General features: G+C 43.9%; 1 protein-coding gene across 10 annotated transcripts in view; it reads right to left on the reverse strand.

Annotated features, from left to right (window-relative positions):
• The window catches only part of SLC8A3 (solute carrier family 8 member A3), a 145191-nt gene that overhangs the window by 95320 nt on the left and 27446 nt on the right, over positions 1–22425 (reverse strand). The window lies entirely within an intron of this gene.

A 22425-nucleotide genomic window follows, 5' to 3' on the forward strand; every position in this document is an offset into this window, starting at 1 on the left:
CCAGGCGAGGAGGAACAGTAGCGTAAGGTATCTGCAGAAAGGCAATGAAGCCCCGCCTTGACCTTAGTTACTTGTGAATCTCAGTGGGTATGAAAGAGGAAACTAGGGGTTCCCATGGCTCCCCAAAGCAGATCATAAGGGCTAGAGGGTGAGGAGGAGGTGTGAGTTTGGCCAGACAGCTGCTGGAACAAACAAGGTGATGCCCCCGGGAGAGGGGTTAGATGAATGGACCTGACCTAAGGGAAACATGATTGCCCCTTTGAGAGGGTCTACAGTGACTGAGGGGCTATAGTGGAACTGAATACCATCTCCAAATAACCAACATGTCAATAGAGGATGAAAGACAGAGTGTGTGACAACCCCAGGCATCTCCCCCTTTCCCTTGAAATTCCCCTACCCCTCTGCAAGTTCGTTGAATCATGAACTTGGTTAACATCAGAGTAGGGAGTTTCAAAATATTCAGCTGGTGCCAAAGTAATTGTGGTTTTGCCATGACTTTTAATGGTAAAAATTGCAATTATTTTTATCATCATTTTGCACCTAATACCTTTGATATTAGTGCTTTAAAATGGAAGGGCAGAATAATTTTAACCACAAAAGTTGCCAGGAAATTGCAGATTCTGATGTCATTAAGGTATGAGCTGAAAGCATATGCCCCAAAGAGGGAGGGCAACAAAACAAAAGACTTTCGGAGAAAATGAGTGGAGAAAAAAACACCTGTCCCATTGTGATACCTTCAGAATTCACACTGCCTCATGAACTGAGTCCCCATGCATCATATCACTGCACACTTACAGCGGCCATATAATGTGTGTATATACAACCTTCATTGAACAGATGGGGAAACAGAGGGTAAGAGGTAAAATAACTTACCAAAAGCCACACAAGAAGGGTTATCATGGCTCTGAACTCCTGCAGAACACTGCCTCTCCCCTTCCTCTCTGCATTAATTCCAGATGTGTTTGCAGGATATACTAGGAGGGACTTAGAGCCATGGATTTGTGTCCTTGCTCCACCTCACACCTTGGGATTCTGGGAAAATTATTTAATGTGTCTTTGCCTCACTTTCCTCCTCTGTAAAATAGTAATAGTACCTACCAACAAGGTATTGTGATGATTTGGTAAGAATATTTTTGAATGGAGTCTGGCAGGTAATGTAGGTGTACATTAATGACTAATTCTTTCACCCTTTTCCCTGAAAACTTAGCTCAAGCTGCACGCTTCTCCTTTGACCTCCTATAGCATCTATGAGATCTCTCTGAAGCCACTATCAGCAGCACCTGGCATTTACCACAAACTATGAGTTTCCTTTTGCATATTGTTAGTTTCCTTTCTATCTGATTACTTCCCCCTAATTAGACTATAAGCTACTTAAAAGCAGGACCAAATTCTCACTTCTCTGGATGCTTTATAGCATCTAGCCACACACACAGTAGAGACTTAGTTAAATCAAAGGCTTCTGCTGGAATACTGCTGTGATAAAAAGACAGGAAAACCTGAAGCCTATAGAGAAGAGGATAATGGTCATAATACCGATGCGATAATAACAATAACTGATTTATCGAGTACTTACTCTTGTCAGGCATGGTGCCAAGTGTTTTAAATGCATTCTCTCACAGACTCCTTCCATCAGTCCTGGCTAAGAGGTTGGTTTGTTGGTGGGTTAGTTGGTTAGCTTTAACTAACATTTGGAAAGAGCTTATCATTGCACAGACTCTGTTGGAAATGTATTCAGCATGTATCACCCCATTTAGACCTTGCTGCAAAGATATATGGTAGACATTATTATACCCATTGTGTGGGTAGAAAAGGAAGCAAAGAGACATTAAATACATTTCTCAAAGTCTCACAGCTAGCACATGAAAGATCCAAGATTCACATGCTTGAAATTTGCAGGTTAGGTGACTTGCTGAAGTGTATGTAGCTAATAAATGACTTACATTTATTACAGGGAGATTTACATCCTCTGGCTTTGGAGCTTAGTCAGTTCCTGTGCATGATAGCAGAAGCGGGACTGCAAAGCAGCAGTTCATAAATGTGGTAGGAGCATTTGTTTCCATCTGTGGATCTCTTCAGTAGGACAAAAGAGTTCATGGGTCCCTCTTCAACCTCTTACACTTGTCAACAAAACAAGCTCCCCTCAGACTTAGTGGGAAGAGTGGTGCGGCTTTGGATGAGACATCAAGGAAATAGCGTTTAGTTTTAATGAATATCAGGAATCAATTAATGTATACTGGAAGCTAAATGCTATCATTTTAGGAATATTACCCTCCTTTCACATCCCCAGGGAATCAGTACCTATCTTATATCAGCTCTCTGTCTTCCTCCCTGGCTGACCTCACAGTGTAACTTTCTTTCACTTTGTAACCCGTTTCTCTGAAGAGGACACCCACCTAGCTGTTAACCCTAGGGTCTGTAGGTCCACCCCAGTGACTCCAATGGCCTCCCTCTCACCAGTGACCAGAGCCCTGCCTTAGGGCTCCACAGAGCCCAGCTGGCCAATGGGTTCCACGGAGCCAAGCCTGGCACCTAATGGCCAGTGCAGCCCCATGTGAGCCAGGAGAGAGAAATCAGAAGGGTGAGACCCAAGTTGGGCTGATCAGAAACCCAATGGGAGAAGCAGGCCTGATATGGAGGGTGACCATTCAACCAATTCATGTTACTGCAAAAGACAGGTTTCCAATCTCTCCCAGACAGTCTGCCCTGAGCTCTCTTGGGAGATGCTGTTCTTGCAGAGCTCAGAAAAGGAATTTCAAACCTTCAGAATCTCAGACTGACTATGATCGTTCAGATTCAGGTGAAAGCAGGATGTGGGGTGAGGGTGGTGGTGTAAATGAACCACTATTGAAATAGTCATCATTTGATCACCAGTTCTCCTTAAAATAAGATACAACGTCCATACAACTTTGCAAATTTGTGTGAAATAAGGCATCAGGTAATTCTTTGCTAGAAGGAGTGTAAGACTGCATTCTTGGTCCCACTAATCTTGACCAAGGAGAAAAAATATGTCTAATTTAACCATAGACTGGCTGATTTTCTCAAAGGCAAACACAGAAAGGTCATTGATTTTCTCTTGGGGATCACACTTAAGTCCATGCATTACCTTTTGATGATTGCACTAGAAGAGAAATCTATTCATTTCTGAGGGAACCTCCTCTCCAGGAGACCTAACTAAAAAGTCATTATCTGAATGTTAGTATTTTGGTGGAAGGGTTTTTTATTCTTTCTCTTATTTTACTTCTTTCTTATCAAGTCTAGAGGGCAAGGTTCTGTCGTATGTATTGACTTAGACTAAATATAATCTAGATTCTTCTGGTCCCTTAAAAAAGAAGTCACCGTTTTAGAGTTTTTCCTCAGTGGATGCAAAATTAACGCATTGCCTTTGCCTCACCCACAATGTTTAGGTCTAGGGCTGTACTCATTTCGTTATTTTATTATTGAGCACAAATATAATCAATATTCAAGTGATTTCCTGAGTCTCATTCTGTCCCCAGCTACCCCCAGCTTACCCTGTGGGGGCTCATTCTTCTCTCTGTAGCTCGCCCACCCCTTAAATGAGCGCTGTTGGAGACAGGCTTTTGCTTCTGAGCAGTGCTCACAGATTTTTTGACTTGGTGGTATAAAATTCCTTTCATATGGCTGTTGCCTGTAGATGCGTTAAGTTTTGAGGGCCTAGCCCATGAGGCCTGTGCAAGTGCTTATTATGAGCTGAGAGTATTCCGTGTAAACCTCGTAATAATCCTGTGAGGAGGTACTATCATTGCCCACATTTTACAAATTAAGGATTTGTAAAGTTTAAGCCATTTAGTAACTTGCCTGAGGTCACTAAGTAGGCACTAAGGAGCCAGGCGTGCTTGGCTCCAGAGCCTTGGCACATTTGTTACCTCAAGACACCTGTCCATTTACAAACAGATGGGCCTGGGAGCACCCCTGGAGTGCAGATGGATAGCTTAGGGCAAGGGTTCTCAATCACAGCTACGTATCAGAATCACCTGGAGTGCTTAAACAATATACTGATATCCCAGCCCCACGTCAACACAATGAAATCCAACTCTCTGGAGGTAGGTTCCAGGCATCAGTACTTTTCAAGCTTCCCGGGTAATTCTCGGGAGAAGCCAGGCTGAGAAGCCCTCATCCACAGGAAAGAACTCATCCCTAGGAGAATGGTTTGGTTGTGCACCCATTGCTGATCTGAGCACTAACAGCTCCAATAACCTGCTGGTTTTGGTGCTTCTGTTCCAGAATCCCATACCCCTCTCTTCCCCCCAGAGAACCAGCAGCTCTATTCCCCTCTACCCAGGCTCTGAGCTGTTACACGGCTGTCAGGTGTATACTCATTTCATGGCACCTCACTGCTTACTTATCCTCTGTGAGCACTTCCCCTGCATTTTGGTCCTCTCCCTCTTCTTCCCCACAGTTAGTCATTCCCTCTCGTGGGTTCCCACAAAACCGTGGCCATGGCCTCGGACAGTACTGATCTCATGGCTTCATCTCTATCTGTTTCTGAGTCCGTCTCCTCCACTGGATTGTGAGCTACGTGAGGACTGGGGCTGTGTCTGACTCTTCTCCATACCCCGCTGTGGGGGCAGGGCACTCAATAGGATGGACCCAGACAACGTGGATTGAAAGCATACATTCTGGTCTATGGGACTGGGTTCTGATATCAGAAAAGTCTCCGTCTGTTGCCACAGCCTCTCTTTCCATTCACCTCCATGTGACACAAAGAGTTTTTATGGGAAGTAAAACAAACAAAAAAACTAACGAAAACTTCCTGTTTTTTTTTTTTTTTTTTTTTTTAAAAAAAAAAAAAAAAAGGCCAGGCACAGTGCTCATGCCTGTAATCCCAGCACTTTGGAAGGCCAAGGCGAGTAGATCACTTGAGGTCAGGAGTTTGAGACCAGCTTGGCCAACAGGGCAAAACCCCATCTCTACTAGAAATACAAAAATCAGCTGGGTATGGTGGCACACGCCTGTAATCCCAGCTACTCAGGAGGCCGAGGCAGGAGAATCGCTTGAACCTGGAGGCAGAGGTTGCAATGAGCAGAGATCATGCCACTGCACTTCCAGCCTGGGCAACAGAGCGAGACTCCACCTAAAAAAAAAAAAAGAAAAAAGCAATTAAATCTTCAAGATTTGGCTCCAAACATATCTCCAAAAAGAAGTCTCTTGGAGTGCCTCAGCTCATCATGGTCTCTTTTCATGATATTTAACAGTCATCACAACCTATATCATTCAGTTGCCAGTTGCATTCTTCCGTTACTGTCTTCAACAGTTATTTTTTAATGCTTATAGGTTTATGTTTCACTTTCCTAACAAGACTGTGAACTCCATGAATTTCAGGCTATTTCTAAAATGGCAGTATCATTTTATTGGCTCACTTGTTTGATGTCTCCTGACACACTGTAAGCTCTTGAAGGCCTGACACACTCTTACATTCATCTTCATATGACAGCCCAGGCACAGTTCTGGTACCTGTAAGAGCTCAGCTGGACTTTGTTAAATGAAGACATTTGGTAACCCCTTTCAGCCTAGTGCCCTGAACTTACCAGGTGCTCACAAATCATATTTGTTAACTGAGTATGAAATGAAAAAGCATAATTCTTATTATAAGATGTGGTTCATATGAGGCATGAAAATTTATTGGATTAAACCCTCTTTCAATTTCTTTTTTGGCTATTTGTAAATGCTTGGTTATTTGACTCCAAAATTGAATAAGTATTGGGGAAGAATCCCTCACCTACTTCCAAATCCCTTACATATCAATTTTACACAAAGCCCCTAAACCTTCAGTTCCAATCACTCTGAATTTCATATACCTCCATTATTAAATTCAATACATCATTGCAGAGAAAAGACAACGGTGCCAACTGGGTTTGGTTGGTGCCTGCACACCCACAGTGGCAACTAAGTGTAATCTCTAAATATGGAATCAGGTCTGCTGTTTCATTTTTTAATGAAGGAAATAGAAGCCCTGGCCCCCTCACTAGAGATGCTGCCCTGTTGTATCAGCTACAAAACACAGGGTCCTGCTCCATTTGGCTGACTGATTATACAGGGGGATTCCCCTTAGATGATAGGTTTGATGCCCAATGATAGCAACACTGTCAAACAGATCATTGTTTTCTGTTTTCCTTTGGGGAAATAAAAGTCTATGTGGGAGGAAGGGGACATGAAAGAAACGTATAAACTCATCTGCCCCAGAAAACCATCCCAACACCCTGTCCCCCAGCCCTACCTTTGGCCCTCCAGCTGCTGCACCCCAGCACACAGCTGTTGCTGTTGTGGACTAACAAGCTGTGGTTAGCAGGGTAGGCAGGAGGGATGATTGCAATGGCACTAATGAGGGGCGCCAAGACAAGCACTCAAGGCAGCTGGTTTTAAAGCAGATGGAAGGAAAGAAGGAAGGAAGGAAGGAAGGAAAAGAGGGAGGGAGGGAGGGAAGAAGGAAGGAAGGAAGACAGGCCCAGAAGACAGCATGTCCAAATGATAGGCTCTGTAGAAGATGTCCCCAGGAGCACTCTGGGTGAGCTTCAAAGTGCTGCCAGCCAGGGCTGGTTACAATCCTTCACCACAGGCAGGGGAAATGAAGGAAAAGGCATCTTGTTCAGCCCACCCGTAGCCAGCTCTAACCACTTGAACATTAACTCTCCAGCATTCGGCTGAATAAAATGGTAATTGACATTACAGTGGAAGATGTGTAATGTCGACAATGCCATGGCTGGGAAGTTCCAGCCAAATTAATTTTGGCAGGAATCTAGGTCTGCAATGAGGCTAATGGGGGGCTGAGTCCCTGTCTTCAAAAGGCTCCTCCACTACATTTCACCTGTTAGTATGAAGTGACTGGCAAAGTTGGGTTTCGTATCTGCAGCAAACTCATCCAATGCCTAGAAGAGTTGGGAGACATATTGAGGAGATGATGGCTCTCTAACGAAGCCCAGCAAGGGAAAAGGAAGCAGAGCTCTTGCTCCTGACCCTTACTTCAGCTCTTCTATCTATTCATTTAAAAAAAATTAGAAAAATGACTTGAGGAAAAAAATAACCCTGCCTGGTATTTATATATATATTAGAGTATATTTATAAAATTTGAATGACTGGGTGGCCTGACTGCATATTCATAGCTGAAGTGGAACAAGGTGATTCTCTGCCTTCTCCTTCCAGCTTCCATGCTGTAAGCCAGTGTCCTTTTTGCAGTCTCTTTAGTGCTACGTTTTTCACATGTTTGTGTTTGCGCTGATGAGTTTGCTGTTGAAAATGGCCCTTAAGCATACTGCTGAATCCTAAGTGCAAGAAGGCTGGGATGTGCCTGAGGAGGAAATGTGTGTGTTAGATAAGCTTTGTGAAGGCAGGAGTTATAATGCTGTTGCCTAGAGAGTTCAGAGTTAATGAATCAACGTATATATTAAATAAAGTGTCTTGAAGCAGAAACACACATAAGACAAGGTATATATTGATCAGTTGATAAAAATATTGTGACCAGCAGCCTGTATTTCCTCCAGGAGCAACGCTTTAGGATTCACTCATTCGGAGTTTGTGCTAACTTTATGGAACATAACTGCTATGAATAATGAGGCGTGACTATTTGGGGGCATGATTTGGGCTGCTTGGAAAGGTTTTCTATGGTATTTGAAGTGACAGAGACTGCAGGATAGGTGAAAAACAAAAGGAACAGTAGGAGGGAAATTGTTATATACTTGTGTCTGCTATCTGCAAGACTTTTCCAGCCTATTCTATCTCATTTAGTCTTTGTCATAGCCTTATATGGCTGATCTTATTGTCCTTTTATTCCAGGTAAGGAAATTGAACCTTCAAGAGATTAGTCAATTTGCCTGAGGTCAAATAGCATGGAAGACAGATTCCAATGTGGCTGTAAGATTCCTTCTCTCCGCAAGAACATGCCCTATATAATCCCCTCCCTCAAGTGTGAGTGGGACCTGTGAACATTTGGGACCTGTGATTATTTGCCATGATTATGTTACATGGCAATGGTGAAGGTATTTTGCAGATATAATTAGGGTCCCTAATCAGTTGACTATTAAGCCTTGACTTTAAGGGAAACTGTCCTGAGTGGACCTGACCTAATCAGGTGAACCCTTTAAAAGATGTGAGAGATTCTCTCTCCCCGTGTCCTTGAAGAAGCAAGCCATGAGTTCTATAGCTGCAAGAAAATTAATTTTGCCAACAACCACCTGACCTTGGAATCCACACCCCCACCCCCATGCTTCAGATAAGACAGCAGCCCCAGCTAACACCTTAACTGCAGCTAAATTGTGCCTGGACTCATGATTCATGAAAACTGAGAAATAAATGTGTTGTTTGTAGTAATTAGTTATGCAATAGAAAACGAATATGCATTGTCAAGCTCTAGCAGAATCAGGGTTCAAACACAGGTCCACCTGCCTCCAAAGCTGATGCTTTCCTCCTTTATACCCTGTACAGACAGGATTCCTGACTCAGGATGGTTCGACCGACAATTTTTGAAGTTTATGATGGTGCAAAAGTGATATGCATTCAGTAGAAACTATACTTTGAGTATCCAGAAAACCATTCTATTTTTCACTTTCAGTACAATATTCAATAAATTATATGAGATATTCAACACCTTATTTTAAAATAGGCTTTGTTTTATATGTTTTTGTCCACTTGTAGACGAATATAAGTCTTCTGAACATGATCAAGTAGGCTAAGCTAAGCTATCACGTTCTGTGGGTTATATGAAATAAATACATTTTTGACTTATGGTATTTGTAACTTGCAATGGAATTACATCCCTTGTGATGGGTTTATCAGGATGTAACCCCATCATAGGCTGAGCAGCATCTGTAATATCACCTTTTCTTTGTTGTTTGCTTGCTTGCTTGTTTAGTTGGCATGGGAGAGGGTTGGCAGAAGAGGGTACTTTTTTCTTTTGAGGAAAGGAATACAGAAGACATTTAGATACAATGACTAAGGTTTTAGCCCTAACACAAAGGAAGTCTCTTCAGCCTTGGATGGTGGCAGTAACTGTGACCAGTAAAAACATGGGGGTGTGAGCCAGCCTTTTATCTCCTTCTGCTCAGGAAACAGCTAGTGGAGATTTGAGAGCAGCAGGGTTTACAAAGCGACAAGGTAAGAATGCTGGGTCCCTCATGTTGAATGAAACACATAAAATTGCCGATATTATTATTATATTTTTGATGTACACAAACAGCAATACATACGATTCAACCAGCTATGTGCAAGCACAAAGCTTAGCCAGTGGTTAGGCCAGGGCTGATCAGTGACCAGAACAGGGCAGCAGCAACGTGTTCTATAGGAAAGAACTTCTAAAGTGGGAAGAGATGCGAGTGGGGCCGTGATCAGGGCGTGAATATGACAAGTAGGTGTGTAGAGCCGGGAGGAGTTGTCAGTGATTGCAATCATGCCTCAACCATGGCAAATTTCAGTTAAGGGCTCTGCACAACTCAAGCCTAACCTGGAATTCCTGACTTGGATTTAGTGACAAGCTGTGTTGTGAAAAGGGAAGCACAGAGTGGTCAGGGCTGGGGTTGCACCATTGCAGGCTTAGTGTAAGGATCATACATCATAAATGTCCAACACCTGCTGGAATTCCTGGCACACAGTAAGTACTAAATAAATCACAGTATTGTTTGGCACTTCATTAGGTTACAGGAAACTGCCTTGCTTAGGTAAAATGAAGGCAAGGGTGACTCATCTCCAAATATAGGGATGAAAAAGAAAGGTATAAAGCCCTGATTGGGAAAAGCAGAATCAGGCTGGAGAATAGTTAATTCCTTAGTTACTGAACTTCCTCTTCTGGGGATGCGTGGGGAGAGGCAGCACCATCCACAGCACTATGGGAGAGTCACGGGTCTTGCTCCAGATCACTTGGCCATTAAGAGCAGGGCCCTCCATGTGAAGCAGCCCCAGCCTGACAGGCTTGTGGTTTTCATCACAGGAGCCCAGAGATATGGTTCCACTCTGAAGCTGTAATTGTTCTGTTTAAGCTTTTTGATCATTAACAGGCCCGGGGGTGGAAGGTGTGTGTACTATGTGATCTGGGAGATGGGTCTAGTGAGAGAGGCCTCAGTACTGCCTACAGGCTGCTCCAAGACATGCCCAAGAGCCCTCTGCAGCCTGTACTGTAATTATTGTAGCTGCTCCAGCCCCAGAGTCCCACTGGCAAGTGATTTCACATGTAATTATCCTTGAGACCAGAAAGACTTTGCCCATCCTCCTCCCAGCCCTTCTTCCTCCCACTTCTTTTATTCTCCTTCACTTTCTACATTCCATCTTTCTTTCCCTTCATCTCCAAAACAAGTCCATAACGTCCACATCGGGATGCAGAGGAGTCAACCTCAAGGTCACCTTCTTCCCTGTCCTGGGGCTGCTCTGTCTTTGGGAGCAGCCTGTCATGTTCCCTGACATCATCAAAGAAAACCCAGATAATGACATTTCCCTCTACCTTCCTCCAGACAGTACTCTGACTTTCTATCTTTAGATCAACTGTTTCTTCCTAAAAGCTAATCCCGGGATTGGGGAGGGAATACAATTACTGCTGGGGGAACCTGAGCAAAACGCTGGCCCAGATAGGTCAAATGGCTGTGACATGTCCAGGATACTAATTACTTAACTAAAAACTAGTACATCATACCCCTGGTGAGGAATTTAGACTAGGCACTATGCTAAACGTTTTATATTGCATAATTGTATTCAATCCTCACAATAACCCTATAAGGTAGGTGCTATTATTAGCCATGTTATGTAAATGAGTAAAATGAAAGGTTAGATAACTTCCTCTAGTTCAGGTCACCAACAAGTAGCTGGGACTCCAAATCAGCCTGTCTGATAACAAGGCCACATATTTAATCATGCTGCTCTATTACCCCCTGTGTATATATGGGCTTCCACTCACATCGCTGCTTTCACACTTCTGTTATTGGTGATTTTATTGTGGCAATGATGAGGCAAACTTCTGTCTTGAACTCATCAAGACAGTGATAGGATCATCAAGCAGTGATAGGAGGGTAGGAGGCAAACCCGGACATGAACTCAATGCCTCCTACCCTCCCATCACCGCTGCTCTCCTCTTGTCACAGACAGCCATAGCTTGGCTGCCCTTAGGTTGGCCTTGACATCTTCAGCTGTGCCCCAGCCAGGCCTGCCTCTCTTTGCAGAGGAAAGCAGGTAACATGCCTGCATTTTGGGATAAGCAGGTAACACACCTGTAGCTCAGGACAAGCTTTAAGGCACCGAGGAACTCCAGAGGGAAAGGGGATTTGGAGAATAGGCCCTTTTTTGTCTCCCTAGTCACAAAATGACTCTTAACTATACAGTGGGTCCTTGTTTTCCATGGCCTAGAGTTCAGCCATCGAAAAGGTCAAAAAGCAGAAATGAGCAATGCAGTTCATGGCTGCCCCTGCCTAGGCTGGAACTTCTGGGCAGTTGTTTAAGAACTATCTGGCCAGGCGCGGTAGCTCATGCCTGTAATCCCCGCACTTTGAGAGGCTGAGGTGGGTGGATCACGAGGTCAGGAGTTCAAGACCAGCCTGGCCAACATGGTGAAACCCCACCTCTGCTAAAAGTACAAAAAATTGGCCAGGCATGGTGGCAGGTGCCTGTAATCCCAGCTACTCAGGTGGCTGAGGCAGGAGACTTGCTTGAACCTGGGAGGCAGAGGTGGCAGTGAGCCGAGATCGTGCCACTGCACTCCAGCCCAGGCGACAGTGCGAGACTCCGCCTCAAAAAAAGAAAAAAAAAAAAAAAGAACTATCAAGGAACCAGGGCTATGGAGATTGGAAGATAGAAGAGGAGGCCATTATAACAGCTGTAATGAAGTAACAAAACAGATTGGGGTATGTGGCTTAGAGAAAGTGGCCATTTATTTTTCAACCCTCATCTACTTGCAAACAGGAATTCAAAAGGTTTACAATTGGAACCCCTATATAACAAAGTTGTTGAATGAGCTCTGGCCTACTCCTGCCTTGAGAGCTGTGGGTCAGCGTCCTGAGGGCAAGTAGCACAGAGGTCGCTCTTCTATCAGTCCTTTGGACATAATTGTGAGGCCCTTGACTTGCTATGGAATGCTGGAGTAGGCATTGTGCAGGTTGTATGTATTAGTTTCCTATGGCTGCTGTGACAAATCGCCACAAACGTGGTAGCTTAAAACAGTAGAAATGTATTCTCCCCAACAGGTCTGGAGGCTAGAAGTCCAAAATCAAGGTATCAGCAGGACTGATTCCTTCTAGAGGTCCGAGAGGAGAATCTGTTCCATGCCTTCCTCCAAGCTTCTGGTGTTTCCTAGCAATCCTTGGAGTTCCTTGGGTGCCTCACTCCATTCTTTGTCTTTGTCATCACATGGCCTTCTTGTAAGGATACCAGTCATAGGATCTAGGGCCCATTCTAATCTAGTATAACCTCATCATAACTATTAATGGTTACACCTGCAAAAGCCCTATTCCCAAATAAGGTAGTATCCTGTGGTTTGGAGTAGACATACATTTGGGAGGAGGAAGGACACTATTCAACCCAGTACAGCTTGCCAATGGCATTTTGGGCAGATCTCACATAAAAGAAATGAAAGAATTTGGGTTCCTCAAAAGGAGGACTCGAGTAAACCTGGGCTACTGGTTTCCAGTGGCGTGGGCAGTGGGAAGCAACACCTCCCTGAGCAGTATTCATGTCAGACTACATTGCACAGAAATGAAGCCCAAAGGAGCAAAGAAAGTCATGCAGAGAATTAAGGCAACTTCCCCCAAAACTCAGAAAGAGCAGGCACACTTCCCACATCCCGCCAACACCTCCACCAATTCATGAGCATCTTACCAGAGAAATCTTAACCAGAGAAATTGGAGCATCTTAACAGAGAAATGTGAACATCTTACCTGAGAAATTCAAATGATGAATTTGCAGGGGAAGTGTGCCACTCTGTCAATCAATCTTATACCCTCTCCCCACAAGACAACATAGAAAACAGGCAAACAACAACAACAACAAAACAACAACAACAAGTTCAGTCTTTTTTTTTTTCCCTCTCCCTTCTAACCCCCAGGAGGGCTGGAAAGACCAAGGGATTTAGCCATGAGAAGAAAGGGGAGCTCTCTCAGCCTCCTACACACCCAAGAAAAATCCTGGGCAGACAGATCTGTATGGCAAAGAGCAGTGCAGGACCAAGAGAGCCCTCAGTTCCCCCAGAGTGGGCCCGTTCTGTCAGTGAGGACTCATTTCAGAGGCATTCGGAAAAGTGCTGTGCAGAACTGCGTCCAATCTGGGCTAAGCAGATTAGTTTCCTCCCAGGGAAAGGTTCTGGGCAGCTGAGCAGGGCAACTCCCTGTAGAGTGGCAGGGGGCTGTCATTACAAGGCCCAGATAGGACATAATTACATGCTCCCTGGAGAGAAGGCTTAATTGAATTACAGGGTGTCTCCTGAGCATCAAAGGCAGCCCAGGCTCAGAGGTAGCTGAGCAGCACAGAAACACCCTCTGAAGAGCTGGTGCCCAGGCAGGCGTCAGGCTGTGGAGAGGCTCAGAGTTGCTCAGAGGGCTCTGTGGATATTGCTGAAGCTGGGACAGGAGAGGAGGAAGGGCTGAAGAATGCAAAATGGTGGGTGCTCCCTGGTCCTTACACCTGAGAGCCCAATTCCAGTCCCAGGTGTCCCTGGGCTTGCTGCAACCTGGTGTGGCACATAAGCAGAAGAGGTTCCAGGAATTCACTCATTCATTCATTCATTCATTCTGCAGGCATAAATTGTGTCCTGGTGGTGTGTGAGGCACCTTTACTAGAAATGGGGAAGAACCGGGTGCTGCTCTGGTCTAAGGACACAGCTTGCATGGGGATTTACTTACTCCTGAGGCCACCTTATACTTCCATCTGTGTGTGCCCCACAAGCTGAAGCTAATTCATCATTCCTGCTTAACAAGTCCTTCTGAATTGACTGGAGGAGGGGGTTGTGCAAGTCACTTCTAATGACGCCAAACTGAATCCCTGACAAAAAAACAAGAAGGGGGTGTTGCCTCTGTATGGCCACAGCCCTCAGTGGTTCCCCCTTCTATAGCAGCTAGCACATATGCTTGTCTTCCCTATCAACTGTGACCTCCCTGAGGACAGGGACTGTGCCTTTCTTCCCTGTGCTTAGCCCACAGTATGAGCTCCCCAAATGTCTGCCGATTATACATTGAGCGATAGACACTCACCCCTCTGCCTCCGCTCTCCTGTTGCTTCTGTCCTCCTTGGTCAACAGGGCTGGCATAGGCTCTCCTGGGGCTGCAGCTGAGCCCCTCCTGCTCTCATCTCATCACTGCCCCGTCTAGCCCTTGATCCTGGCTGCCCTCGGACACCATGGACATGGCATCAAAGGAGGTCCCCTGATCTGAAAACATGGTCCTGAGCCAGCCTCGCCCTGTTACCCAGGCAGCCGGCCAAAGCATCATCTGTCGGTAGTTGCTGGTGATGAAGTGACACAAACAAGAATCCTCTGCAGACCAGCTCAGGTGAGGGTGGGTTGGAGCCAGCAGTCAAGGATGGTGAATCCAGATTTCTGAGCTGGGCATTAAGGACTTTATTTGGCCCTTGCCAAACTCCCTGGGCCCAGTTACCCCTATGTTAAAAGGAAAGAAGCCAACTCCTTAAAGAAGAAACGTAGAATGCATTCTTAACTTCCTACATATGAGGAAAAGGGAGCCTGCTACTTCCAGCTTCATAACCTTATTCTCATGCTAAAATATGTAACACAATAGAAAGAATATGCAGTTTAAAATCAGAAGATCTAGGGCTAAAATTTTTTTGTATTTTTATTATTAAAGAAATGCATGCTCATGTTAAACATTTAAAAGTGCACAAAGTGTAAAGTAAAAGATTAAAAGTTGTCTTTCCACCATTCGGACCGTCAGTCTCACTTCCCAAAAGAAATCACTCTTAGAGGTTCTTAACAATGCATTAATACAACATGCAGCCTTTCCACTCCACACCCAGCTGAACAACATATATGGCTCCCAAAGCCAACGCACAAGTGAGAATGGCTGCCTCTGCTAACCACTTGCCATGCTGGGTGCAAAATCTTTCAAAGCAAAAGGCCAGAGAAGTACCATGCAGTAGGAAAGGTATAGTCTGCTTAGGACTTAGTTCTTTGCACTTTTTCTCATCTGTACATATTTACTTCTTATTGCACTTTTTCAAGCACAATCTTATACTGTAATTTTATCACACCCTTAGATATAATTTAAAACATTATTCTTAATGGTTACATATGTTTTGTAAATACACTGAAATGATTTTTTTCCTTTTATTTTTAGTTGACACATAATAATTATACATATGTATGGATACAGAGTGATATTTTGACACATGTATACAAAGTGTAATGATCAAATCAGGGTAATTAGCATATCTATCACCTTAAATATTTATCATTCTTTTTTTTTTTTTTTTTGAGACAGAGTGTCACTCTGTCACCCAGGCTGGAGTGCAGTGGCGTGATCTCGGCTCACTGCAACCTCTGCCTCCCAGGTTCAAGCGATTCTCCTGCCTCAGCCTCTTAAGTAGCTAGGACTACAGGTGTGCGCCACCATGCCCAGCTAATTTTTTGTATTTATAGTAGAGACGGGGTTTCACCATGTTGTCCAGGCTGATCTCAAACTCCTGACCTTAGGTGATCCATCCACCTCGGCCTCCCAAAATGCTGGGAATATAGGCGTGAGCAACCACGCCCAGCTGAATATTTATCATTTCTTTGTGAATATTCAGAATCCTGTCTATTTTTTTTTAAATATACACTAAATTACTGTTAACCATATTCACCCTACAGTGCTACAAAACACTAGAACTTACTCCTCTTACATAACTTCACATTGTATCCATTAACCAACCTCTCCCTATCCTCCTTCGCATCCTCTAATAACTACAATTCTACTCTCTACCTTTTTGAGCTCAATATTTTTAGCTCCCACATATGAGTGAGAATATGTGGTATTAGAAGATCAAGGTTTTGATACTTACCCTTAAAACTCTGTGTTCGCGGGTAAATTACTTAATATTTCTTAGACCTAGAATCAAGTGATCATAGTAACCCTAATGGTATGACAAAATCCTTACATCTTTAAAAGTGGAATTCTATGTTTTCATACAAATATTAGAAGTTTTATTATGTAAGAAACATAACAACAATAGTAAGCTTTCTCAGAGGCCTGAATAACAGTGGTAAGGCCCAGGTAACCAAAGCTGTGCCCATTCTTTCCAGCATGTTCTGATCCCCTTACGGAGTTACCATCATCAAAAACAACTTTAAACAATGAGTGCCCAATAATTTCAAAGCATTTTACATCAGTTAAATGTCCTCTGACAGTCAGCCCTTGGCTGTGTTCATTTCTGTCTCTACTCAACCCCCAAAATAGAAAGTTTATATTCTTCCAGCAGTCCACACAGGTTAATTAAAATGTTGTTTCTCTCTGCTTTGGCTATAATTACATTAACTCATCATAATATCACTAGCTATCTTTTGCTGTATTTTATGAGAAAAAATAGAAATCCAATTATCAGCTAATAACCTAAAACATGGGTTCCACAGGGAGGGGCAGACCATGAAAAAGGCCTGCGGTGGGGAGCTGGCTTGAGAACCACCTGTCTAGAGTACAAAACTCACTAGGTTAGCAGTGCTTCTGGAAGATTCTAGTCTGATAAAGAAATTATCTGCTTCACCTGTCCAACAAGAATTTCTGTCCCTGTGGGTTCATCCAGGGAATAGAAAAAGCTTCTGTGTTATATGTAGGATAAAGAAAAGAGAGACTCAAAAAGGGTTTTCTTATTAGGATTGGCCCAGTATTGAAGAAATAGTGACAATAATTTCATTCTTATGCATCTCAGTGAAATGGAGACTCCTAGTTTCTTCACTCCATGCAGTTCTTTCTATCTTGAATCCCAGGACTAGGATTGGCAGATATTTGGCCTTTTCTTCTCACATCTACAACTGAGCGCAGATACAGCCTCACAAGTCCTTTCCAAGATGGCCCCCTGGATGGCCACTACTCATTGACTGGAGCTGACACAAAAGGACGGTCCCTATTTTCCACCCCAGTCCTATGCAATGGGACATGAGCACCTGACACAACCATACACTGTGCCACATGTAGATGAGGATACTCCAGCTTCTGGGGATTTCCTGGAAAGGCATCAAGTTTGCAGCTCCTAGGATAAAGAGGGGGTGCCTGCTGGCTCTGGCTGAGTCCAGCAGATCAGCTGTCCAGCAGGGGAGGGGTGGGGAGGGAGAGCCTCAGGAGTACTGTCATTCTATCCCTGGCAGGCATGAATGGCAGGGAAGCTTTCTGTCTTGCTTTACAGCACAGGCTGCTCTGGAAATCCAAACCCAGAAAGAGGCTTTGAAAGTGACTCAGTACCCAAATAGTGTACCTGAAAACGACGGAAGATTATCTTCTGACGCTAGTGTCCTGGAGAGGATAGATCAGAGAAAAAGTAAATGGGAAGAAATGACCCTGGTAGCCTTGAGATATGTGCCACAAGCATCATTCACTAAGAATGTTTTCTGTTGATCTGAGCAGAAGCCAGCTGAATCGTGGCTGCAGAGTCTATAGTGAGCTTGATGCATTTGGGCTGGGGGATTCTGAAGTGGCTATTTCTCCCATTCTCCAGCCTACCGCCCCAGTACAGGCCACTACAAAATCAGTGCTCTCTCTGGGGTGTTGCAGACCTTAGAATGTGTGCCAGTTTGGAGTTGACAGGTGCCTGTCTCACCTGGGACTCCCTTCTAAGTGACTCTGTCTACCACTTATAGATAAAACTGTTTAGATAGCTTATCATGGAATTCCCATGGCAATTTCAATTTCCCACTCCATCATTCAGTTATGACAGACCAGATGGGGAGGGGAAGAGGGTGGGAGAAGGGGGCACTTGACACAGGGCAACCAGCTCATATGTGGTCAGTGGTCTTTGACATGACCAGGTTAAAAAAAAATCAGATTTCTTCTCTTGAAAATTTAAACTAGAAGAATAGAAAGAGCTTTGTGGGTAGGAACAGAAAGCATATATGCAGAGAGGAGCCATGAGCTAGGACTTTGGGGTACCATTGCAAGCTGCAAATAATAAAGAAGCCCATAGAGAGAAGCAGAGATGCCAGGAGACAGAAAACATGTCACCCAGGAGGGAGAGCACTGGAGACAGAAAGCGGTCTCTAGAGCTACCTCAGTCCCCAATGGCTTTCTGATGCCAGTCCCAATCTGTGCTGCATCCTTACAATTAAACCCTCTCGTTTTCACATACAGGCAGACAAACACTTCATAGTGAAGGCAAAAAGAGCACCACCATGAGTGGTTTGTTTCCTGGGAGATATCAGTCTTCCTGGTGCTATCATGAAGCTAGTTCGTTCTGGCTAAATGACAGGCTTTCTTAAGGGATCCTTTCATGGCACCTTCTTGATCATGCAAAGAAATCATAGATCAGAGAATAGACTGAAAGCAACCCAAGCACAGATGCCAATAGTGTGAAGGAAAAGACTATCTGGAGTAGGTTAAGATTTAAAGTGGAGACATGGCAAAAGGAATTGAGAAGGGAGGTGCTGAGTGCAAGGAGGAATGAAAGGAAACCCAGCATTAGCCTCTGCAGCACCTAGAGCACAAATAGAGAAAAAGTGGATGCAGCAAAGAATGTTTAGAAGAGACAGCAAATGTAAGAAAATAGTGTACAAACATGAAGTAGGGTGTAAGAATGGAAATAATGTGAACAACAATGAAGATCCGCAGCCAGGGCTCGGTTAGCCCTTGTGATGGTGGCAGAATACATCTGCATCCCCACAACTCAGAAAGACGTTTGGAGATAGAAGTGGGGTTGGTGAAGGTCATGTGGAATACATGGGGAGAAACCTAAAAGGTCGACAAATCAAGACCAAACAGCCTGGCAGAAGATGGACTGGTATGGAGAGATGGCAGTAGTAGTCATCCATAATCGACAATTTGTTTTGCAGCCATATTTGGAATATTAAGTTACTATTTGGATGTCACTTATTTTGAAAGTACCAACTAAAGAACCTACAATAGAGTGGTTTCTATACACTCCACAAATAACTGCTTCTTCATGAACCCTACCCACCAAAAGGTAACTGAATTGGGTCCAGGCAGAGTTAGTCAAGTTGCACCTATGTATGTTAATCCTTAGCTAGGAAGAGTAAGGATGGTTCCAAAATGACAACTGAACTTATATATATACACATATCCAGTTTTCAGAAAAACATATTTTTTCCATAATAAGTTCCACCACATTCAACTTTAAATTCTCCTCTGCTTATCCAAGTAATTTCTTACTTGGGTCCCCAGTAAGTGGTAGGAGTGGAAATATAATTCCTATGAATGATAACTCTCATGCCATCTGAAAATATTTGTCTAGTGCTTTCCTCCATGGTTATTTAGCAAAATCCTCAAAGCATTTGATTCTTGCAAAATGCTTCTAGAATGTGCAGAATTTAAATATGGGGCCGTGCTCTATTTGCAGATCAAGGAGCTCTCTTTCTTCAACTAACAATTATATGTCACTGGCTCTATGCCAGGTCTTCAAACTTTCTCAAACTGGGTTCTGGAAGCACAGCTTAGTTTCTCTTTTAAAAACCAACAATAAGGGGCCAGGTGCAGTGGTTCATACCTGTAATCCCAGCACTTTGGGAGGCCAAGGTGGCTGGATCACCTGAAGTCAGGAGTTTGAGATCAGCCTGGCCAACATGGCAAAACCCCGTCTCTACTAAAAATACAAAAATTAGCCAGGCATGGTAGCATATGCCTGTAGTCCCAGCTATGCAGGAGGCTGAGGCATGAGAATCGCTTGAACTCGAAAGCAGAGGTTGCAGTGAGCTCAGATTATGCCACTTCACTTCACTCCAGCCTGGGCAACAGAGCAAGACTCTGTCAAAAAAAAAAAAAACAAAAAAAACCCAAACACAAAACACTAAGGAAACATCTTGAATAAGTGAAAGACCACAGCTCTGACCTCTTCTACCTTCCTCCTGGAGTTGACAGGGCCTAGCTAAAGGGTGGAGAAGGAATGAGTGTTCATGTCCCATCCAAAAACCTTTGGGAAGTTGATGAAAAGTTGGACAGCCAGAAAGAGTCCTCCTCATTTACCTGCCTTGCTTTGCTCACCTTGCTGTCATTCTTTTGAGTGGATGAGGAAACTGGCCTTAAGACCCAGAAGAGTCCAGAGAAAGTAAGCTACGCCCATGGCAGGATCCCCACCTGTATCCCCTTATTATTGTTGCCTGAAGCTCCAATTAGCACCTTCCCAAGCAGTGCCCAGGAGAGCCTGCTTTGAGGATGAGACCCATTCATTTTTGAAGTGGCCATTCATGTGATCATCTCCAACCACAGTGTGTCTTTTTTAACCCATGCTGACATTCTCCCCGATGTGCTCTCCAACTCTGCACCTCTGAGTTTTCTCATACTATCAGCCCTTCACATCCATGGGCTCCACCAACCGCAGGTTCCACCAACCAACTGTGGGTGCCACGGGTAGAAAATATTTGAAAAAATAAAACATAAAAAAGGATAATACAGCAATAAAAAACAATACAAATAAAAAAAGCAATACATTAAAACAACTATATAACATTTACATTGTATTAGGTATTATAAGTAATCTAGAGATGATTTAAAGTATATGGGGGGCTGGACGTGGTAGCTCACGCCTGTAATCCCAGCTTTTTGGGAGGCCAAGGTGGGCGGATCACTTGAGGTCAGGTGTTTGAGACCAGCCTGGCCAACATGGTGAAACTCTGTCTCTACTAAAAATACAAAAAGTAGCCAGGCGTGGTGACATGCGTCTGTAGTCCCAGCTACTTAGGAGGCTGAGGCAGGAGAATTGCTTGAACCTGGGAGGCAGAGGTTGCAATAAGCGAGTGACAGCCTGGGCGACAGAATGAGATTCTGTCCCGAAATAAATAAATAAATAAAGTATATGGGAGAGAATATGCCTAGGTCATATGCCAAATACTGTGCCATTTTATACCAGGTACTTGAGCATCTGAGGATTTTTGGTATCCTCGGAGTAGTTCTGGAATCAATCTCTTGTGGATATTGAGGAATTATTATTCTGGAGAGCAAACCAATGTGAGCAGACCAGGGCAGGGGCACTGGATACTCTGCTGCACATGGTGTGGGACTGACTTAGGTAGGAGAATTGCTGATCCAGTGTTGTCAGGGGATACCGCATGCCTAGTCCCTAAAACAAATTAACCAGGAGGGCTCTGGACTTCCTGGAGAGTTTTGCAGATGTGATAGGGTCTCCACAGAACTTGGGGTGTTTTATGGATCCTGGAGTTGGAATATGTCATGCTTTGACATATTCTTTGACAGTCTCAGTAATTAAGAAGAAAAGAGACAAAAAAAAAAAAAGACATTTCATCATGACCTGGGGCCCTTCGGGACACAATAGCTAAAGCTTCTGCTAAAAAGTTTACATAGCATGGTCGGGCACGGTGGCTCACGCCTGTAATCCCAGCACTTTGGGAGGCTGAGGCTGGTGGATCACGAGGTCAGGAGATCGAGACCATACTGGCTAACATGGTGAAACCCCATCTCTACTAAAAAAAAAAAGTATAAATATATATTAGCCGGACGTGGTGGTATATATATATATAAATATAAATATATATGTATAATATATATATATTAGGCCTAGCTACTCGGGAGGCTGAGGCAGGAGAATGGCGTGAACCCGGGAGGCAGAGCTTGCAGTGAGCCGAGATGTGCCACTGCACTCCAGCCTGGGCGACAGAGCGAGACTCCATCTCAAAAAAAAAAAAAAAAAAAAAAAAAAAAAAGTCTACATAGCCTTCAATTATTCCTTTGGGCCTGGAAAGTGGGCAATTGTGGTTGAACAATCCTACTGGAAATGCCTCACTGTACTGCTAAGTATCCCCATTCAACAACTGGCTCAGAAATGGAGTCCCTTCTTCAAGACAAATCTGTGCCAAGTACACAGCTCCACTGAGGATTTCAGGAAGCCACAGTTGTAGTGGCTGACTGTCTACCTAAAGAGAAGGAGGACTTTTGCTACTGCCACTGAAGGCAGAAGGAAAGAGAAAGAGAGGGATGTTGGCCAAGGGAGAGATGTCACCACCTCTACTTGACTCTCATCCTCCATGAGCTTGCAGTCTTGTGACTCTCTCAAGCACAGAAAGGGTATTCTAGAGGCAAATCATCTCCCTCTGTGGCCAGAAAGAGACTATCTTAAAACCTTGCTAAGCCAAAGAAAAAGAAAACAAAAAATCGATTGTGTTTTAGTTAAATTGGAGAATGTGCAAATTGTATCCTGGAACACTCCAGATTTTTATAGATTTTTACAGAAAGATTTCTTGGGGTTAAAACATTACAGAGAAAGCATCCCTGGAAGGGAATGGTCTGCATTATTTTGAAAATTTTTATTATTTCATGGAACAAGGCCTAGCCTGAAGTTCACCAG

Source organism: Homo sapiens, chromosome 14 (assembly GCF_000001405.40).
Source record: "Homo sapiens chromosome 14, GRCh38.p14 Primary Assembly".
In the NCBI taxonomy this organism is placed as follows: Eukaryota; Metazoa; Chordata; class Mammalia; order Primates; family Hominidae; genus Homo; species Homo sapiens.